The sequence below is a fragment of the Homo sapiens genome, chromosome 10 (assembly GCF_000001405.40).
Source record: "Homo sapiens chromosome 10, GRCh38.p14 Primary Assembly".
Taxonomy (NCBI): domain Eukaryota; kingdom Metazoa; phylum Chordata; class Mammalia; order Primates; family Hominidae; genus Homo; species Homo sapiens.
The window spans coordinates 69,318,169-69,336,957 of record NC_000010.11 but is presented as its reverse complement, the minus strand read 5'-3'; the positions used below and the strand labels follow the sequence as shown (position 1 = coordinate 69,336,957).

The following is an 18,789-nucleotide window of genomic DNA, read 5'->3' as shown; positions in this document are numbered from 1 at the left end:
AAATACATCTACCGGCCAGGCACGGTGGCTCACGCTTGTAATCCCAGCACTATGGGAGGCCGAGGCGGGTGGATCACTTGAGAGGTCAGGAGTTCAAGACCAGCCTGGCCAACATGGTGAAACCCCAACTCTACTAAAAATACAAAAAAAATTAGCCGGGTGTGGTGGCAGATGCCTGTAATCCCAGCTACTTGGGAAGCTGAGGCAGGAGAATCACTTGAACCCAGGAGGCAGAGGTTGCAGTGAGCTGAGATTGCACCACTGCACTCCAGCCTGGGCAACAAGGCGAGAATCCATCTCAAAAAAAAAAAAAAAAAAAAGGCATCTACCAAAATGCTATTGACCCATTGGTAGAAAACTAAAGCTGGGAGGCAATATGCCTGAAAAAAATGGCAAATGAAAGATTCTAACAAAACTACTTGAAACATTTACACTGTTTCATTTTTTTTTTTAAAGATGCAATAATAGGCCAGGCGCGGTGGCTCGTGCCTATAATCCCAGCACTTTGGGAGGCCGAGGCTGGTGGATCACCTGAGATCGGGAGTTCAAGACCAGCCTGACCAACATGGAGAAACCCTGTCTCTACCAAAAATACAAAATGAGCCAGGCCTGGTGGCACATGCCTGTAATCCCAGCTACTTGGGAGGGTGAGGCAGAAGAATCACTTGAACCCAGGAGGCGGAGGTTGCAGTGAGCCGAGATCACGCCATTGCACTCCAGCCTGGGCAACAAGAGCGAAACTCCATCTCAAAAAAACAACAAAAAAGAAGCAATAACAGTAATATATACTTATTGTAAAATATATTCCAACATCATAAAAATGCATAAAAGTAAAAATTATTAATTCTTCCCCCAGTCTCCCCAGAGATATCCCTGCTTTATGTACAAGGACTTTAGAGCTCTATGTACTAGGACTATCTTCCTCCCTAAACAAACACTCATACATAAAGAGATGGATGGTTCTTTTTGTTTTACAAAAATGGAATTATATCATAAACACTTTTTTCTTTAAAAACCTACTTCCCGCTTCCTATTTCCTGCAGACACTCTCTAAGACTCAAACTAGCAAAGCCGTACTAAAGACTTCCTCAGGACCCCTCCCGGTCCGATGACAGGGCACAGTCGGGGCCATGTAGACACCTGCATTTGACTTCTGGCTCTGCCATCCTGTGGGCACCTCAGTCTTCCCATCTGTCAAGTGGGTGCGTTCCTATGACTTTGACCTATAAAGGCCTCTCTAATTGGCACAGCGCGTTTACCTGTTGGTCCTTACAGCATCCTGTCTGCAGAAGCAGAGCAGGTACCATCACTTCCAACACCCTGGGCAAGAATGAGTGGCCAGGAGGTTCCTCAACTGGCCAGGGCGACATACTTGCAGAGACTGGGGTGGACAGCAAGCTCCCTGATTCCTGGTCCTGTGCTCTATCCTCTCAGTCCAGGGAGAGCCAGGGCCAGGGGCTTCCTGGAGAGGGAGATGCGGTACTACAGGGGCTATCACCGCCACAGCTCCAGCCACCCAAGAACAGCATGGCTGCCTGGCCTTGCCAAAAGCACGCCACTCCAGTGTGACCTCCAGGAGGCCTCTTCTCCCCTCCAGCTGGGATCAGAGCCACAACAAGCTGTCCGATCTGCTCCTTCCCCTTTCACACAGTCTGGGAAGGAAGTTCAACAGCCATAGCAAGCTGAGAGCCTGGGCCCGCACCGTGGTCTGTGCCCGCCCAGCAGCCCCGGACTCCTCTTCCTGACTGCACATGGCTTCTGCGGCTGCCCAGCCCCACCTCAGTAGTGTGGGTGGCAGCCGGGAACCTAGTTTCTGTCCTGCTCTCGGCAGCCGGTCTCTGAGCAGGGAGGGAAATGGCCACGAGGGGAGGCAGCCCTGATCTAGTGGGGTCCCTAAAGCAACCACTAACCCCCAGCACCCTGATGGTGGCTCATCACCTCAAAGGTCCTTCCTCGCAAGCCCCGTCCAGTCTGCCTCCTGGGCCTCTCCGTCCCCAGCTCCTTCTTCCTCCCAAAGCTCACCTCCCAACTCACCTTCTCAGGAGCACATGCCATGATCCGCCCCACCCCACACCGTCCACTCCTCTCCTCAGCATCCCCTCGGCCTTAGGTGTTCACTATGTAGGAGTCGATCTGCCTGGGAGACACTTCGTGGTGTGTGTCTTTCCTGGGCGTTGCAGGGACACATGCATGGTCCACACCGCCAGCTAGACCGTGAGTGCCAGGGGTACAGGAGCCATGCCCTCTGGGCCCTTTGTGTGCCCAGGAGCCCTAGGAGGCACCACGTGGTGGCTCCTGGGCCAGGTTGGGTGGCTCCTGTGCTGGGCGGGAGGCCTCCAGTAATGACTAGCCTAGGGAGGTCTCAGAGGGTTTGCTGGCTCAGATAAGGCCCGGAGACTTCCCCGAATGGCCCAGCCCTTCTCCCCCGGCAGCGGCCTCTCACTTTAAGGTACAGAGTTCCAGGCACTTCTAACCCCTGCCTTCCCCTCAGCACTTCACCACTGCATGGCTGAGGCCCAGAGGGACAGAGGGGCCTAAAGATAATCGGGATTCCCACTCCCATATTCAAGCTGAGTCACCTGCAAGCTACCAGAGGAACTGTGTCTGGGATAATCAATTCCACCGCAGGGCTCCTCAGTGACAGGTCTGTGTGAGATCATCACCAAAGCCAAAACCATCCCTCAGGCACTCAAAAACCCCATCCTGGGGACACAGCCTTGCCCGGTCTCTTCTTCCAGGTTCATATGTGTCTCTCAGCATGTGTAAACTGTTGGTTCTGTTTCAATGAACTCTGTTTACGCACAACAAATCATGAGGAAAATGGGATCCCCATTTTTTTCTTTTTTGAGACAGAGTCTCGCTTTGTCACCAGGCTGGAGAGTACAGTGGCGCAATCTCAGCTCACTGCAAACTCCACCTCCCGGGTTCAAGCGATTCTCCTGCCTCAACCTCCTGAGTAGCTGGGACTACAGGCGCACACCACCATGTCCAGCTAATTTTTGTATTTTTAGTAGAGACACGGTTTCACCATGTTGGCCAGGATGGTCTTGATCTCTTGACCTTGTGATCTGCCCACCTCGGCCTCCCAAAGTGCTGGGATTACAGGCGTGAGCCACTGCGCCCAGCCAGGATCCCCATTCTTGATGAAGAAACTGACGTTCTAGCAACGTGAATGTGGACAGGGCCCACGCTGGGTGCTCTAAGCTCCTCCATCCAAATCTGCACAATGTGTAAGGTAGCTGTTATGAACCCCACATGAGGCAGGTGGAACCTAGGGCTGTGCAGTTAAGCCAAATGCCCCAGGCCCCCAGCAAGCAGAGCGGCACTCCAACTTCAGCTCCCCTTCCCTTGGCCCCCTCTTCCTAGGAGAACCTGAGTAGGGCCTGGAGGTTCTAAAGGGAGCTTCCTGACTGGTAAAAGTGGCCAAGTCCTTGCCCAGAAAGAGAACAAGGCTGTCACACTGAACTAGCTAAAAATAAAGCAGGCCCCCATTCCCTCGGGGAGAACAGAACAGCCCTGGAATGTGGCAGGGCAGGCACAACAGGCTTACTTCTCAGCCTCCTGGTGGATGGCTTAGCAAACAGCCAGCCTCTGGACCTCCAGTCTCACAATTCCCACTGTCCCAGCACCTCCCGACAACAGGGAGAAAAGGATCTGAGTGCAGACAGGTTTACTTTCACTGTGAGACAACCAAATCCCAATGCTGTGGCTTGGAGATACTGCAGTGGTGGGACTGGACTGAGCTAGAAATCGAAAGACCTCAGGCCTCGGCCATGGGCACTGCCTCCCTCTATGACCCTGAGCAAGTCACTTCGATCTCTTGTGTATTTCCATCAGTAAAACAGCAATCATGAAATCTGCCTTCTGGCCTCACATACCATACACAGGAGCTCCATGACACTTTAGAGTCCTCAGAACATGGCATTTCAGCAGCCCATGGTGTCATTTTCATCTGTCCATTTGGCCAGGGCACACAGACATGCAGATGGTCCAGGAGCTCTCACACAATCCAAGGCAAAGGCAGAATGGCACTCAGGACCCCTGCCCAGGCTCAGGGCTCTGTTGTCTGCCTACTCTGTTAGCCAGGAAGCTGCCGTCCTCCACTTGGCTACTCAAGGTGTCTACAGGTGTGAGCTGGGTGAGTGACAATGATAACACCTGGCATTTGTACAGTTGTGTACACTTTCCAAGTATTTCCTCGTCCATTCTCTCATTTGAAAAGTGGGGGCAGAGAACAAGGCAGGAATCATTTACCTTATCTGACAGATGAAACAGAGGCCAGGCCAGGTACAATGGCTGACACCTGTAATCCCAGCACTTTGGGAGGCTGAGGTGGGTGGATCACTTGGCCAGTTCAAGACCAGCCTGGCCAACATGGCAAAACCCGTCTCTACTAAAACTATAAAAAAAAGTTAGCTGGGTGTGGTGCGGCGCTCCTGTAATCCCAGCTACTAGAGAGGCTGAGGCATGAGAACCGCTTGAACCAGGGAGGCAGAGGTTGCGGTGAGTCAAGATTGCGCCAGTGCACTCCAGCCTGGATGACAGAGCAAGAGTCTGTCTCAAAAAAAGAAAAAAAGAAAGAAAGAAAGAAAGAAAGAAAATGAGGCCTAGGGAACTTGATGGTCACCTCACAATACTGCTCAAGCTGGATGGGTCCTTTCGAGATAATGGATTCCAGATGAGGAAACTGTGGCTTACACATGAGGAAACTGAGGCCCAAGGATGCCCAGAAACCCACTGCTTTAAATGCAGAGTGCAAACTCCTGAGCCATGGAATTTACCATCTAGCAGAGCACTGTCCAACAGGAAGATAATATGAGCCACATATGCAATTTTAAGTTTCCTACTAGCCACATTTAAAAAGAACAGATGAAATTAATTTTGTTTTTTAGATAATCTCACTCTGTCACCCAGAATGGAGTGCAGTGGTGCAATCAAGGCTCATTGCAGCCTCAAACAATCAAAGCAATCCTTCTGCCTCAGACTCCCAAATGAAATAATGTATTTTATTTAACCCAGTATATCCAAAATGTTGTTTCTATGTCTAATCAATATCAGAAAAAAAATTTTTTTTTTTTTGAGACAAGGTCTTGGCTCCATCACCTAGGCTGGAGTGCAGTGCACTCCAATCATGGCTCACTGCAGCCTTGACCTCCTGGGCTCAAGCAATCCTCTCACCTCAGACTCCCAAGTGGCTGGGACCATAGATGTGTGCCACCATGCCCAGCTGACGTTTTTAATTATTTGCAGAGATGAGGTCTCGCTATATTGCCCTGGCTGATCTCAAGCTCCTGGGCTCAAGTGATCCTCTGGCCTCAGCCTTCTAAAGTGCCAGGATTACAGGTGTGAGCCACCATGCCCAGCCAATATTAGAAAACTATTAACGGGCTATTTCATATTCTTTGTGTCACATGAAATTTTTGAAAACCTGTGTGGAGTTTATATGCCACAGCACATCTCAAATCAGACTTGCTACATTTTAAGAGCTCAACAGCCACCTATGGCTGGCGCCTACTATTCTGGACACACAGCCCCAGCATTTCTGACATATCTCCATTATCAGAGCCTTGGGTGACAGTTTCTATGAAGAAGGCCGCTGAAATGTAGAACACGCAGTAGCTGAAAAGAAATATCCTTCCTTCCCATCTTAGGTTTATGGCTGAGGCCCCTATAACAAAAGACAGAGTAACAAGAACAATGTATACAAATTAATCTAAGTTTTTAGGTGACGCAGAAGCCTTCATAAGGAAATGAAGGTCCAAAGAAACAGGTAACTCTGGCCCGGCGTGGCGGCTCATGCCTGTGATCCCAGCACTTTGGGAGGCCGAGGCGGGCAGATCACTTGAGGCCAGGAGTTCGAGACCAGTCTAGTCAACATGGTGAAACCCCATCTCTACCAAAAATACAAAAATTAGCCAGGTATGGTGGCGCATGCCTGTAATCCCAGCTACTCAGGAGACCGAGGTGGGAGAATTGCTTGAACCAGGAAGGTGGAGGCTGCAGTGAGCCGAGACTGCACCACTGCACTCCAGCCTGGGCGACACAGCGAGAACTGTCTCAAAAAAAAAAAAAGAAAAAAAGAAAAGAAACAGGTAAGTCTGCATATTTCCCTATGTCAGGTTTGATGAAGAAGTGGATGATCGTGAAGAAGTGTGACTGGAGAAAGGGGATATGATCTAATAGTGATAAACTGAAGAGAACTTGGCAGGCCCTGTTTGTTCTTCTCTGTGTCCCTGTATCTCCAGAGATAAGGATGTCCCTTTCTTCTGGGTATAAGGTAGACACCTTCTTGAATGAGAGTCTGCATCAGGGAAGAAGGGAGGGGAAAGGTGAGAGACCTTCCTGCTTCTGCTGTTTTCTCAAATGCCATATTACTATTTGGGGATAGTATGTCCTGAACCCCATCAATGGCTTTGGAGTCTGGAGCCCTGGACCACCGTTCTGGTTCTGCAGGTACTGCAAGAATTGCCCACTGGCGTTAGGGAGGTCTGTGTACCCATCCTAGCTCTTCTGCTTTCTGGCCACCGAGATCACATGAATTCCACTTCCTGGGACTCACCTGCCCCATATGTAAGATGCAGGAAGAAATTCCTACATCCAAGCTTGATGGAAAGATCCAACTAAAGTAAGCATCTGATTAAATCAAGTATTTTATAAATGAAACAGAACTTTGTAAAGGTGAGGTGGTGTCTTTATCACAGCAGTAGCCTGGGTCTCCTACTTCACTCACCACACCCACCCAGACAGGGTCCTAGAAGGCACCAGGAGACATCAGGGACATGAGGTCTGGGTGAATAACATGGCTGAAGACAAGCCCCATGTGTCAATCAATTGATGGAATCGACAGCTGCTTACAGTACCCCCAGGCAGAGGCCAGGAGTGGGCATCGCAAGGAGCATTGAGGGGGTTTTCATGCAGGTTAAGCATTGCCCTCCTGGGGGGTCCTCTTTTAAATGCAGACAAGAATGGGAGAGGGAGACAAATGAAAAGGGAGATTTGAAAAACAGGGCAAATTCCTAACATTTCACTGTTAATGACCTTATCGGATCCATTTCCTTCCCAAGTGGAAGGGGCTCATCAACACTAAGCAAATGGGGCTGGGGGTGAGGCAGCAGGCACAGGCAGGAGACACCATGCTGGTGCTGGGGAGGGGCAGGAGATGGGGGGCAGGGAACCTGGAGGATCCCAAGCCAATTCCACCCCTCTCCCACCCCAGTCTTTCCCTCCTTGCATCTGTTTCCCTAAACTGCACAATGAGAGTTGGGTGTAATGGTGGAAAGAACATGGATTTCTGAATCAGGGGACCAGCAGTAGTGTTCCTATCCCTGTCATTCATGAGTTGTGTGGTCATCAGAAAGTCAATTCACCACCTGGGGGGCCTTCGTTTGCTCATTTCTGAATGGAGTTGATGCCTTCCTCCTTAAATCGATTAAAAGCAGGGGTTTTCCAAGAAATTCCATTCCTACATATACACCCAACAGACATGAAAGCATGTCTGGCCGGGCGCGGTGGCTCACGCCTGTAATCCCAGCACTTTGGGAGGCTAAGGTGGGTGGATCACAAGGTCAAGAAATCAAGAACATCCTGGCCAACATGGTGAAACTCCGTCTCTACTGAAAATACAAAAATTAGCTGGGCATGGTGGCATGCGCCTATAGTCCCAGCTACTTGGGAGGCTGAGGCAGGAGAATCACTTGAACCCGGGAGGCAGAGGTTGCACTGAGCCAAGATTGCACCACTGCACTCCAGCCTGGTGACAGAGCAAGACTCCATCTGAAAAAAAAAAAAGAAGAAGAAAGAAAGAAAGCATGTCTATACAAAAAAAAATTCACACACAAATGTTCAGAGCAGCATTATTCATAACAGCCGAAAAGAGTGGAAGCAGTCCAAATGCCCATCAACTGACAAATGGAAAAACAAAATGTAGTAGATAAATACAATGGAATAGCATTCAGCAATAAAAAGGAATGAAGTGCTAACACATGCTACTACATGGATGAACCTTGAAGACATTATGCTAAATAAAAGAGGCTAGACACAAAAAGCCTCATTTTATATTATTCCATTTATATGAAATGTCCATAAGAGGCAAATCCATTTAAAAAAAAAGAAAAAAAAAGGTAGATAGTGGTTGCCAGAAGCTAGGTGGAGGAAGAAATGGGAAGTGACTGCTAACGGGTAGTTTTTTTCGGAGGGTGATGAAAATATTCTGGAATTAGATGGTGATGGTGCTCGGACAACCTTGTAAATCTATTAGAAACCACTGAATTGTACACTGTACAATGATGCGTTTCATGGTAGGTGAATTATAACTCAATTGAGAAAATAATAAAAGCAGGAGCTCTGCCATCAGCCTTGATGAGGCTGAATGCTGGCTCTATCGTTCACTATCTGGGCCTCACCGTCTGAAATCACACCCACCTCACAAGGGCGTTGTGGGGATGAACTAAGCAAAGGCTCACGATGCCTTTAGCACAGTACATGGCAATGAATACAACAATGAATGTTGGCTTTGGTTCATATGAGTACTAGAAATGATTAAATAAGACCCCTGCTAAGAAAAAGAAAAGCCGGGCGCCTAGTAGGCACTGAATGCCCCCTTCCCTGTAAGGCACCCTCGAGGTCTCCGAGTCTGGAGCCTGTAATCAGGCATAGACTCAAGATGAACATGAGCCGACATTTTCTGCCTCGCACAGGGACAGCTCAGCTTCTGTGTGCAAAGGGCTGAGCCGCCGACTTCACGGTTCAGTTTTCCCTGCCACGTGGGTACAGCCACCCTCTCCTTTTACGGAAGACGGTCTGAGAGGCTGCTGGCTTGAGTTTTCTCTGAGCAGAGCTGGGCACATTTACGCAACAGATAAGCCTGCCCTACCCGGGTCGGATCCACCCGGGAAGAGAGAAAGTGTGTGCAAGTGAAAGCTCACAAATGTGTGTTTCAACTCCCAGAAAAGCTTAACGGAGTCAGCCCACAGCACCAGGGGCCATGGAGAGCCATCCTAAGCCTTTCCCTGCATCAACTATCCCTCCCCAGTGCAGATATCTCAGCAGCAGCAGTCCATGGAGCTGTCAACTTCAGTCCGTGGGACTCTGAAGCAAGGACTCTGATAAGGTAACTCAGGAAATGGGCTAATTTTAAACACAGCTCGAATACTGTGATGTGAATGGAAACAACTGAGGAAGGAAACAGACTAAAACTCATCTATTACAAATTTGCAAAGGTTTGACCATAACAAGGGTTGGTGTGGAACAAAGGCAACCTGCACATACTTCCGATGGGAGTGTGAACTGGCATGACCACGGATGGCAACTTGGCAGAATCTCGTATATGGGAAAACGCACACATCTCTCCGCCTGGTGATCTCAGCCCTAGGTACACAGCTTAGAGCCTAGAGAAACTTGTGCATGCGCTGAATGAGTTGTTCTAGAGAAAGTTCACCAAGGCATTGTTTGTCACTTGAAACATTAGAAACACAAATGCCTATCAAAAGCAGAATAGATGAATTAACTAGGGAGCTTTTATACTCTGTAAGAAACCAGAGCAGTTTAATGAAACAGTTACGTAGATCAACATTTTTAAAATCTCAAAAATACAATGTTGAGCTAAAAGAAAGTAAATGGCGGAAGGATACATACAGTATAGCACCATTTATAAGAGTTTAAAACTGGCTGAGTGTGGGGGCTCAGGCCTATAATCCCAGAACTTTGGAAAGAGGCCTAGGCAGGTGGATCACTTGAGGTCAGGATTTTGAGACCAGCCTGACCAACATGGTGAAACCCCGTCTCTACTAAAAATACAAAAAAATTAGCCAGGTATGATCTCAGCTACTCAGGAGGCTGAGGCAGGAGGATTGCTTGAACCCAGGAGGCAGAGGTTGCTGTGAGCTGAGACCGTGCCACTGCACTCCAGCCTGGGCAACAAAATGAGATTCCATCTCAAAAAAAAAAAAAAAAAAAAAAGTTTAAAACCACACAAAGCAATACCATATATTGCTTAAACACATAGTCAGTATAGCACCATTTACAAAAGATCAAAACCATATATCTATAAAGCAATACCATATACTGTTTATAGACATATGCATATGTAATAAAAGCGTAAAAACATGCATGAAAAGATAAACACCAAATTCAGGACAGAGGTCACCTCCGAAGGGAGAAGCAGCAAACTATCTCAGAGATGGCATAGAAAGGGCTTCAACTGTGTCTGTAATGTAATTGTAATTGTGTCTATAACTTCTCAAGCTGAGTAGCAGACTCAGAGGTGTTTATGTGAACCTCAATCTTCTTTTATGTGCCTCAAATATTTCATAATAAAAAATTAACTCAAATGTATTGATTTGTGAGGGGACAGTATTAAAATACAGGTTCCAAGGTAAAACATTAAAATCAACAAGGACAGGTTTTTCTCCTAAAAGAAGGAAACAGAGGAAGCAAGAAGAGCCCTCTGAATCCTATTCCTGATTTTCTTTCGACCTTAGAAAAATGTTTTATCTCCTCTGGATGGGCCTTCAGTCTCTGTTTCTAAATGGGGAATAAATTGCTTGCCTTCTGTCTGCAACACACAAGGCAGGCAGCAGGATGCCCTGGGGAGGGAGCCGTGCTGGGAAGCCCGGGAATAATACTTCCTGTACTGACAACCTCGCTGAGGCTTTTGAAAGAGCATATGAAAGCATACACACACCTACACATATGTTAGTATAGTTGTGTGCAGAAACATTTATAGTGTAATCTCAATTACATATATATATAATTCATACCCGACATGACACTCACGAAGTGTTCCAGGATGCCCAGAGACAAAAAGCCATTAAAAAAAAAAAAAGCGGCCAGGCGCGGTGGCTCACGTCTGTAATCCCAACACTTTGGGAGGCCGAGGCGGGTGAATCACGAGGTCAGGAATTCAAGACCAGCCTGGCCAACACGGTGAAACCCCGTCTCTACAAAAAATACAAAAAATTAGCTGGGTGTAGTGGCAGGCACCTGTAATCCCAGCTACTAGGGAGGCTGAGGCAGAAGAATCGCTTGAACCTGGCAGGCAGAGGTTGCAGGGAGGTGAGATCGTGCTACTGTACTACAACCCAGGCGACAGAGTAAGACTCTGTCTCAAAAAAAAAAAATGCAGTCCAGAGGCAGTAGCTGGCACCCGTAATCCCAGCATTTCGGGAGGCCAAGGCGGGCAGATCACTTGCGGTCAGGAGTTTGAAACCAGCCTGGCCAACATGGTGAAACCCAGTCTCTATTTAAAATACAAAAATTAGCCGGGCATGGTGGCAGGCGACTGTAATCCCAGCTACTGGGGGGCAGGGGGGGGCACTGAGGCAGAAGTATCACTTGAACCCGCGAGATGGAGGTTTCAGTGAGCTGAGATCACACCACTGCACTCCAACCCAGGATACAGAGTGAGACCCCATCTCAAAAAAAAAAAAAAAAATGCAGGCCAGGAGCATTGGCTGGTGCCTGTAATCCCAGCTACTCAGGAGGCTGAGGCAGGAGAATCGCTTGAACCCAGGAGACAGAGGTTGCAATGAGCCGAGATCACATCACTGCATTCCAGCCTGGGCAACAGAGCAGAACTCCATCTCAAAAAAAAAGAATAAGAAAATACATGGCCGGGTGTGGTGGCTCACACCTGTAATCCCAGCACTTTGGGAGGTCGAGGCAGGCGGATCACAAGATCAGGAGATCGAGACCATCCTGGCTAATACAGTGAAACCCCGTCTCTCCTAAAAATACAAAAAATTAGACGGGAGTGGTGGCAGGCGCCTGTAGTCCCAGCTACTCAGGAGGCTGAGGCAGGAGAATGGCGAGAACCCAGGAGGCGGAGCTTGCAGTGAGCTGAGATCGTGCCACTGCACTCCAGCCTGGGCAACAGAGCGAAGACTCCATCTCAAAAAAAAAAAAAAAAAAAAAAAATACACATTTTTGTGACAATTAATTTTGACTCCACCTTACAAAGTTTCTAAGTATAATATCCCTGATGTGTACTGTTTACCAGAAGTCAATGTTATTTCCAGAAATCAAGACCAATCAAACTGTAAAATTTTTACCTATTTTTCTTTAAGATCAAATACAATGAACACAACCCAGTGTATATTAAGTGGTTGCAAAAGATCCCGTTGTTAAGGTTTATTAGGCCAGAAGGCAGTGGGCACCTGTCCTGCTACTCCAAACAGACTAACACATCCCCAGAACTGGGGATGGGAGCAGCTTCCTGAAGCACTTAAGGAGCTAACATCTGCAGCCTAGCTGTAAGCAGTTCCTAGCCTAGGGATTTCCCACCCAAGGTATGACCACACCATGCTGTGGGCCCTCATAGCCCATATGCTTTGCACATATAACACAGCAAATACTTCATTTTTTTTTAATTATTATTTTTGTTTAGATGGAGTCTCGTTCTGTCACCCAGACTGGAGTGTCAGCTCACTGCAACCTCCGCCTCCCAGGTTCAAGTGATTCTTCTGCCTCAGCCTCCCGAGAAGCTGGGACTACAGGCATGAGCCACCACATCTGGCACCTTTTTTGTATTTTTAGTAGAGACGGGGTTTCACCATGTTGGTCAGGCTGGTCTCGACCTCCTGACCTCAAATGATCAGCCTGCCTTGGCCTCCCAAAGTGCTGGGATTATAGGCATGAGCCACCACGCCCGGCCAGCAAATATTTTATGCTCCATGAGAACTGGGACCGTTTCTGCCTTGTTTATAGTTGTCACCCCAGCCTAGCACAGTCCTCTGCACATAATAAAAAAATCAAACATTTTTTAAAGAAATGATTGAGCTCCTGTGATCAGATTTGATCTTCAGGGTTTTCAAATCAATAAGCATACTTAGGGAGGCCAAGGCGGGAGGACTGCCTGAGCCCAGGAGTTCAAGACCAGCCTGGGCAATATGGTGAGACCCTGTCTCTATAAAAAAATAAAAACAAATCCATAAGCAGGTGCCAGCAGTCTGACCACAACTGATTCCTGGATGCAGAGGTATACAGCTCCCTGTCTTTATCCATGTCTTCCCTGGACCTTCTCAGGCATGCTCAGAGGTGATTCCAGTGGCTAAATCTGTCTGCCAGGAATCCCTGACTGCAGACACACACAGACAGTCCCAGTCATGCCAAATCAGTCTTGTAAGGGGAAAGCTGCCTATGTCTTCTCCGGAGAACAGTAGGAGCGTGGGAGCATGGCACAGCTTGGCCAGATGTGAAAGCACCTCACAGACACCCTGCCTGCCAGTTTATTCCTTCATGACATTCCCAAACTATCCAACCAGATAAAGTGATGGGGCTTCTCTTGGGAGAAACCCTAGGAGTATCTAAGGTAGGAAAGGCAGGGATTATAAAGTCAAGATTCACCAAGAAGCTCTCACTGAATATTTGTACAACATCAGAATTGAGAGGTTATGAGACACTTCTCATAATTTTCTTTCTTCTTTTTTTTTTTTTTTTTTTGAGACAGAGTCTCGCTCTATCATCCAGCCTGGAGTACGGTAACACAATCATAGCATCACAGCTCACTGTTTTGGGATCAATCTTTTGGGCTCAATGAGCCTCCTGAGTAGCTGTGACTACAGGTGTGTGCATGCCACCAAAGCAGGCTAAAAAAAATTTTTTTTTAAGATGAGGTTTAATTTTGTTGCCCAGGCTGACTTTTCATAATTTTTTCTTTTTTTTCTTTGCCACTGCAAGAACCCACAGATTTTTCATAATTTTCTTTTTTTTTTTTTTGAGACAGAGTTTCGCTCTGTTGCCCAGGCTGGAGTGCAGTGGCATGATCCTGGCTCATGCAACCTCCGCCTCCCCGGTTCAAGCAATTCTCCTGCCTCAGCCTCCCGAGTAGCTGGGACTTCAGGTGCATGCTACCACGTCCAGCTAATTTTTGTATTTTTAGTAGAGACGGGATTTCACCATATTGGTCAGGCTGGTCTTGAACTCCTGACTTCGTGATTCACCTGCCTCAGCCTCCCAAAGTGCTGGGATTACAGGCATGAGCCACTGTGCCCAGCCAGATTTTTCACAATTTTCTAACTATCACCTCTCTCACCCCTGAGCAATAATGAATGGGCATTTTTTTTTTTTTTTGAGACGGAGTTTCGCTCTCGTTGCCTAGGCTGGAGTGCAATGGCGTGATCTCGGCTCACCGCAACCTCTGCCTTCCAGGTTCAAGTGATTCTCCGGCCTCAGCCTCCCAAGTAGCTGGGATTACAGGCATGCGCCACCACACCCAGCTAATTTTGTATTTTTAGTAGAGACGGGGTTTCTCCATGTTGGTCAGGCTGGTCTCGAACTCCCGACCTCAGGTGATCCACCCGCCTCAGCCTCCCAAAGTGCTGAGATTACAGGTGTGAGCCACTACATCGGCCTTTTATTTATTTATTTATTTTTAATGCTTGCTTTTGCAGCTGGAACACATAGGCTCTAAGGAATGTACCTTGGGCAACCCTTTAATTGCTAAGCCTACTCTCCCCTGTCTTCCTGGGTCAAGTACTCAAGGACTCCTGAGTTCGGCCATTGGACAAATCACACTCTCTTCAACAGCACCCATTAACCAATTTATGCAGATGCCGTCTGGATAATGGGGTTCCAAACTGGGAAGTCAGACACCTGAACTGTTTCAACCCAGGATATATTTTTATGGAGTTGAATTATTGATGTGCCTCAAGGCAATGAGGAAAGAAATGACACCCTTTTCATGATCACCTACTAGTGGAAATCACTTAGCGTTATGGGGATCTCGCCCAGAGAAAATCCACTGGCATTTGCTCACCATTCTGACAAGCCTGGAGGAAAGGAAGTCTAATCTTTCTTTAGAAGCCAAGTTCTGACCTTCCTGGACCCATCTTCCCTTTCTAAACAAACAGAGCACTATGCAATCCTTCACCCTGCTCCAAGCTCCTAATGGCTAAACCGAGTGGAAGAAGCTGGCGAGATGAGATGCGTGTTTAAAGTTACTTAGAGGTCAAAGAACCCAGCCTCTAGCTGCAGAACTGGCAGATGTCTGGGATTCTGATGAATGGAATCCTTCACAAGCACACATATGCCTCCCTTTCCTCCTACAGGCACTAGAAGAGTGAAAGGAATATATGTGTTTTGTGCTTAGCTCAGCCTAATGCCAGTACACCCTCTTCAACAGCACCCATTAACCAATTTATGCAGATGCCGTCTGGATAATGGGGTTCCAAGCTGGGAAGTCAGACACCTGAACTGTTTCAACCCAGGATATATTTTTATGGAGTTGAATTATTGATGTGCCTCATAGGCAATGAAGAAAGAAATGACACCATTTTCATGATCACGTTTGGATTCTAAGCAATCCCAAAAACTTCCCCGGCATGGTCCCCAGCTTCCCTTCTCCTACCTCTGGCTCTGAGGGCAAGAAGATAGATGAGAGTTACTGAGGGATGCCAGGTCTGTCTCCAGAGCCCCGGAGGCTGCCTACAGCTGGAGGGCTGAATCATCATGGCTGCCCACGCTGGGGGGGAACCATCCTCAGCAGGTCCCTGCTGGGAGGCAGGCAGAGTCCAGCCCCACAGGAAGAACAGGGGGTCCCGCACCTTCACCTAGCCTTTCCTATGGTGAGTGGTACGTGGAAAGAGCTGGTCTCTAAGAAATCCTGGGCCCCAGAAGAGCAGATGTGGTCCCCAGCATCTGCACACTTGGGCAAAACTGAGTAGGTCACTGGAGCAAGTACCCACTATGTCACTGTCCTTAGAAGGCCCAGGCTGGAGTGCGGTGGCGCAATCATAGCCAGGACCACACCCACAGATGGCTGTGCCACACAGTCCACTATGCAAAATGAGTGGACCCCCTGGCAGGAATCCACGTACTCCCCTATAGAAAGCAGCATAGGAAGTCCGTGGTGAAATGCAAGCAAACATCTTGTTTTTAAGAATCTCCTTGACAAATAATATCTGGTGGAAACCTTGGCCTTAAGACCTTCCTCCAGCAAGGTTCTCGGGGAAGAGAAGGGAAGAACATCAGAATCCCAAACTCGGAGTGAGGAGGGATGGAAGGGTCAACTGAATCACACACTCAGGTACCTACGGGGGCCTAGGAGATAGACTGTGCATCCATAGATGTGAATTGAGCCACCCACAGGAGTGGAGAGCTCTGGGCCCACCCTAGACACTGTATGTCTGAGAAAACATGTCCCACTGAATGGAGTCCAAACCTCAGCCCAGCTCAGCTGCTGGAGGCCACCGGCAGCCAACAGCCAGCAGTCTGTTGTGGGTGGTGGTGGGTGTGGACACTGGAGGTTTACAAGGTCACCCAGGCACCCCCCAGCCCAGCAGCCCACTGTCTTGAGCTATAAAGGACACCACGTGCAGGAGGACAGTGAACTCTTGGCTTCAGGAGGCCTGTTCTGGGCACTTCTTGCCATGCCGGGAGAACTGTCTCCCTGGTCCAATGGGAAGAACATCAGTGATGCACAACACCACTAGAGAAAACTCATGAAATGCACACACCCGCACGCACAGCTCCCAGGTCAGTGGCCAGAGGGAAGCTCCAGGGTGCTCCATAGGAGCAAGTGTTTCGAGTGCCACGGTTTGACAACCCCAGAGTGCTTAAAGCCATAAAGAGCAATGGCAGATGGCATTCCCAAGCCTATCTCCTACCTACCTCACTCCCGGTCCCCACCCACCATGGGATCCAAGATCACGGCAGGGTCCCCAGCGGCTTTGTCTCTCAGTACCCACTCCCTCCTGGAAGCTGACCTCCAGGAGGACCCTGGTGAAGTTCCTGGGTGGAGGCACTGGGAGACCTGGATCCCCCTGACTGGCTCTGCCTCTAACTCACTGGGTGACCTTGATAAGGTCGCTGCCCTCAGTAGGCCTGTTTCCTATGGTGCCAGATGAGGGAGTCATCTTAGATGCACAGGAAGAGGATGGAACACCCTATGGCTTGCCGGGCAGAAAATCAAGGCCTGTCACTCCTGCCTTTCACCTGTAGAACTCCACCTGTCTGAACGCCAAAGTCAAGATGACTTTGCCAGTCCATCCCAGCTAACCCCAGCAATAACGTCACCACGTTCAGGGTGGGTGGGCCTGGAGCCTGTACCAGACCTGGCACTGATAAAACGGGCGTCTTTCCCTACAGCTTAGGCTGTTTCTTTAAAATATGGTAGCACAGCTGGCAGAAGAGACAAATACACCTTTAAGACCTGCCAGCGGACAGTATTTTACACTAAGATGTCAAAGGCAACAACACCTCAGGACAGGAGGATGCATGCGTCCAAGTGCTAGAACAAGCATGCCACAGGCGTCCACCCAACTCAAATGACCAGTCGCTTATTTGAGCTCCTGTGCTGGCTAGAAATTACAGCTTAAGAGGAATAAAAAATTCCATTCAGACGTGCCGCTCCAGACACGAGGCCTATGAGCAAAGTTTCCGGTGGCCTCGCCGCCCCTCCCCGTTCCGGGAAGCCGGGCGGGTCACCTCGTCCTCAGATTAACGAGCAGCTCAAACAACTGGGAGAGCCCGGCGACAGCTTCTCCGGGGCACCCGACACCCTCCGCCAGGAACCCCAAATATGGGAGGCCTGGCCTCCAGCCAGCACCCCCGCCTGCTGCTCGATCACCTCCCCAGCATCTCCATGATCACACCTCCTCCCACGGCGCTCGGACCCTCCCGAACAGGCCCTGCGGAAGGGCCCACCGGCCACCTCCCCGCACAGCCCGGGGGCCTATCTGACATCCAGGGCCCGTTTCAAGGACACTGCAGCAGGCAGCCCGGTCTCGGGGGTCTTCCGCCCGATTGCCCCCCTCCCAAAAACGCACACACACAGAGACACTGACAATGCCGGTAGAATCGAAGGCGAAGGCTTTCCTTGCGCCCTGCAGTCCAACTCGATGCTGGCCCGGAGAAGGCCGGGCGCCGGAGGATGGAGGCAGCGGAGGCGGCGAGCGGATGCCGGAACGCAAGGCTGCGGCCAGGACCAGCGGCGGCGCGGGCGGGGGCTCACCTTTTTGACCTGGTCATCCTTCAGCTCCGTGAAGTAATAGGCCAGGAGCTGCGCGGCGATCATGCTGGCGGTCGGGGTCGCGGGGCGGCAGGCGTGGGGACGGTCGGTCCTCCGCAGCCCTGGCGAGCCGTGGTCCTCCGGCGGCTGCTCGGCGGCTCCTCCTCCTCCTCCTCCCCCGGCTCCTCCCCCTCGGCCCGGGGCGCGGCGACAGCTCGCGCGCTCCCGGTCTCCGCGCTCCCGTCCCCTGGAGGGTGACAGCCGCCAGCCGACCCACCTCCTCCACGCCCATTGGTTGCGGCGCGCCTCTGCAACGCCCGGCGGTGGCGTCCCGGCCGGGGAGCGGGGACGCGGCGGCCGCTCCCTCCTGCGCCGGAAAGGGGGCGGGCGACGCAGCGAAATCCCCCCCGACCCCGCATCATCCTGCACGTCCCCCACGTAGGGAGCCGATGCGGGCCTTCACGCGTGGCGGCGCCGTGCCCGGGTGGGCCGTGCCAGGCGGGGAGGTGCGAGGCGCAGGCAGGAGGCACCGCCCGGCTCCGCCGGGACGAGAAGCCCCTAGGGCTAGTCTAGGGACTGGCAGCCCCGGGGGCACGAAGGCGGTCCCATTCCTCGGAAATGAGGGCTCGCCCCTAGGAGTCCGGTGGACGCCGAGGTGCCGGAGGGGACTTGCAGAAGTGGGCGTGGAAAGCGGGCGGAAGCGGGAGCCGGGGACGCTACGCAGTCCTCGCACCCGGGTCCCGCGCCTTCCTCACCCAGGCCGAACGCACCGGCCTACCTGGGTCTTCAGCGGCAGTGCATCACCTCTCCCCGGCGTGCCCCGCCTAATCTCCAGCTGGCAGATT

The 18,789-nt window shown here is 50.2% G+C and overlaps 1 protein-coding gene across 30 annotated transcripts in view, besides 10 other annotated features; it reads right to left on the bottom strand.

Moving 5' to 3' along the window:
- The window catches only part of HK1 (hexokinase 1), a 131,883-nt gene that overhangs the window by 64,925 nt on the left and 48,169 nt on the right, over nucleotides 1–18,789 (bottom strand). For 16 of the 30 annotated variants that reach the window (NR_199805.1, NR_199804.1, NM_001441152.1 and 13 more), the window contains exon 1: nucleotides 17,948–18,111. The exons of 10 other annotated variants lie outside the window; for them this stretch is intronic. Coding sequence is in view for 11 of the 20 variants with exons in the window: in NM_000188.3 (NP_000179.2) it covers nucleotides 17,948–18,010 (63 nt within the window). In the remaining 9 variants the exon portion in view is untranslated. Of the gene's footprint in view, nucleotides 1–2,034; nucleotides 2,345–17,780; nucleotides 17,895–17,947; nucleotides 18,112–18,722; nucleotides 18,778–18,789 lie in introns of those variants that run through there. 4 more of the 30 variants (NM_001322366.1, NM_001441140.1, NM_001441143.1 and 1 more) reach the window with 4 other exon arrangements.
- Nucleotides 1,075–2,001: an enhancer, noted in NCBI's record as "NANOG-H3K27ac-H3K4me1 hESC enhancer chr10:71094713-71095639 (GRCh37/hg19 assembly coordinates)". NCBI's record gives its function as "activates a minimal SCP1, AML or CMV promoter by ChIP-STARR-seq in primed H9 embryonic stem cells {active_cell/tissue: H9 hESC(primed)}" and the evidence as "EXISTENCE:reporter gene assay evidence [ECO:0000049][PMID:30033119]".
- Nucleotides 6,488–7,289: an enhancer, noted in NCBI's record as "OCT4-NANOG-H3K27ac-H3K4me1 hESC enhancer chr10:71089425-71090226 (GRCh37/hg19 assembly coordinates)". NCBI's record gives its function as "activates a minimal SCP1, AML or CMV promoter by ChIP-STARR-seq in naive and primed H9 embryonic stem cells {active_cell/tissue: H9 hESC(naive and primed)}" and the evidence as "EXISTENCE:reporter gene assay evidence [ECO:0000049][PMID:30033119]".
- Nucleotides 7,290–8,091: an enhancer, noted in NCBI's record as "NANOG-H3K27ac hESC enhancer chr10:71088623-71089424 (GRCh37/hg19 assembly coordinates)". NCBI's record gives its function as "activates a minimal SCP1, AML or CMV promoter by ChIP-STARR-seq in naive H9 embryonic stem cells {active_cell/tissue: H9 hESC(naive)}" and the evidence as "EXISTENCE:reporter gene assay evidence [ECO:0000049][PMID:30033119]".
- Nucleotides 8,691–8,985: a silencer, noted in NCBI's record as "tiled region #14132; K562 Repressive DNase unmatched - State 5:Enh". NCBI's record gives its function as "represses a minimal TATA promoter and a strong SV40 promoter by Sharpr-MPRA in K562 cells {active_cell/tissue: K562}" and the evidence as "EXISTENCE:reporter gene assay evidence [ECO:0000049][PMID:27701403]".
- Nucleotides 8,691–9,005: a biological region, named in NCBI's record as "Sharpr-MPRA regulatory regions 12566 and 14132".
- Nucleotides 8,711–9,005: a silencer, noted in NCBI's record as "tiled region #12566; K562 Repressive DNase matched - State 5:Enh". NCBI's record gives its function as "represses a minimal TATA promoter and a strong SV40 promoter by Sharpr-MPRA in K562 cells {active_cell/tissue: K562}" and the evidence as "EXISTENCE:reporter gene assay evidence [ECO:0000049][PMID:27701403]".
- Nucleotides 10,545–11,153: an enhancer, noted in NCBI's record as "H3K27ac-H3K4me1 hESC enhancer chr10:71085561-71086169 (GRCh37/hg19 assembly coordinates)". NCBI's record gives its function as "activates a minimal SCP1, AML or CMV promoter by ChIP-STARR-seq in naive H9 embryonic stem cells {active_cell/tissue: H9 hESC(naive)}" and the evidence as "EXISTENCE:reporter gene assay evidence [ECO:0000049][PMID:30033119]".
- Nucleotides 15,026–15,942: an enhancer, noted in NCBI's record as "H3K4me1 hESC enhancer chr10:71080772-71081688 (GRCh37/hg19 assembly coordinates)". NCBI's record gives its function as "activates a minimal SCP1, AML or CMV promoter by ChIP-STARR-seq in naive H9 embryonic stem cells {active_cell/tissue: H9 hESC(naive)}" and the evidence as "EXISTENCE:reporter gene assay evidence [ECO:0000049][PMID:30033119]".
- Nucleotides 17,528–17,577: an enhancer, noted in NCBI's record as "active region_3490". NCBI's record gives its function as "activates an Ori minimal core promoter by ATAC-STARR-seq in GM12878 lymphoblastoid cells {active_cell/tissue: GM12878}" and the evidence as "EXISTENCE:reporter gene assay evidence [ECO:0000049][PMID:35858748]".
- Nucleotides 17,878–18,557: a silencer, noted in NCBI's record as "silent region_2430". NCBI's record gives its function as "represses an Ori minimal core promoter by ATAC-STARR-seq in GM12878 lymphoblastoid cells {active_cell/tissue: GM12878}" and the evidence as "EXISTENCE:reporter gene assay evidence [ECO:0000049][PMID:35858748]".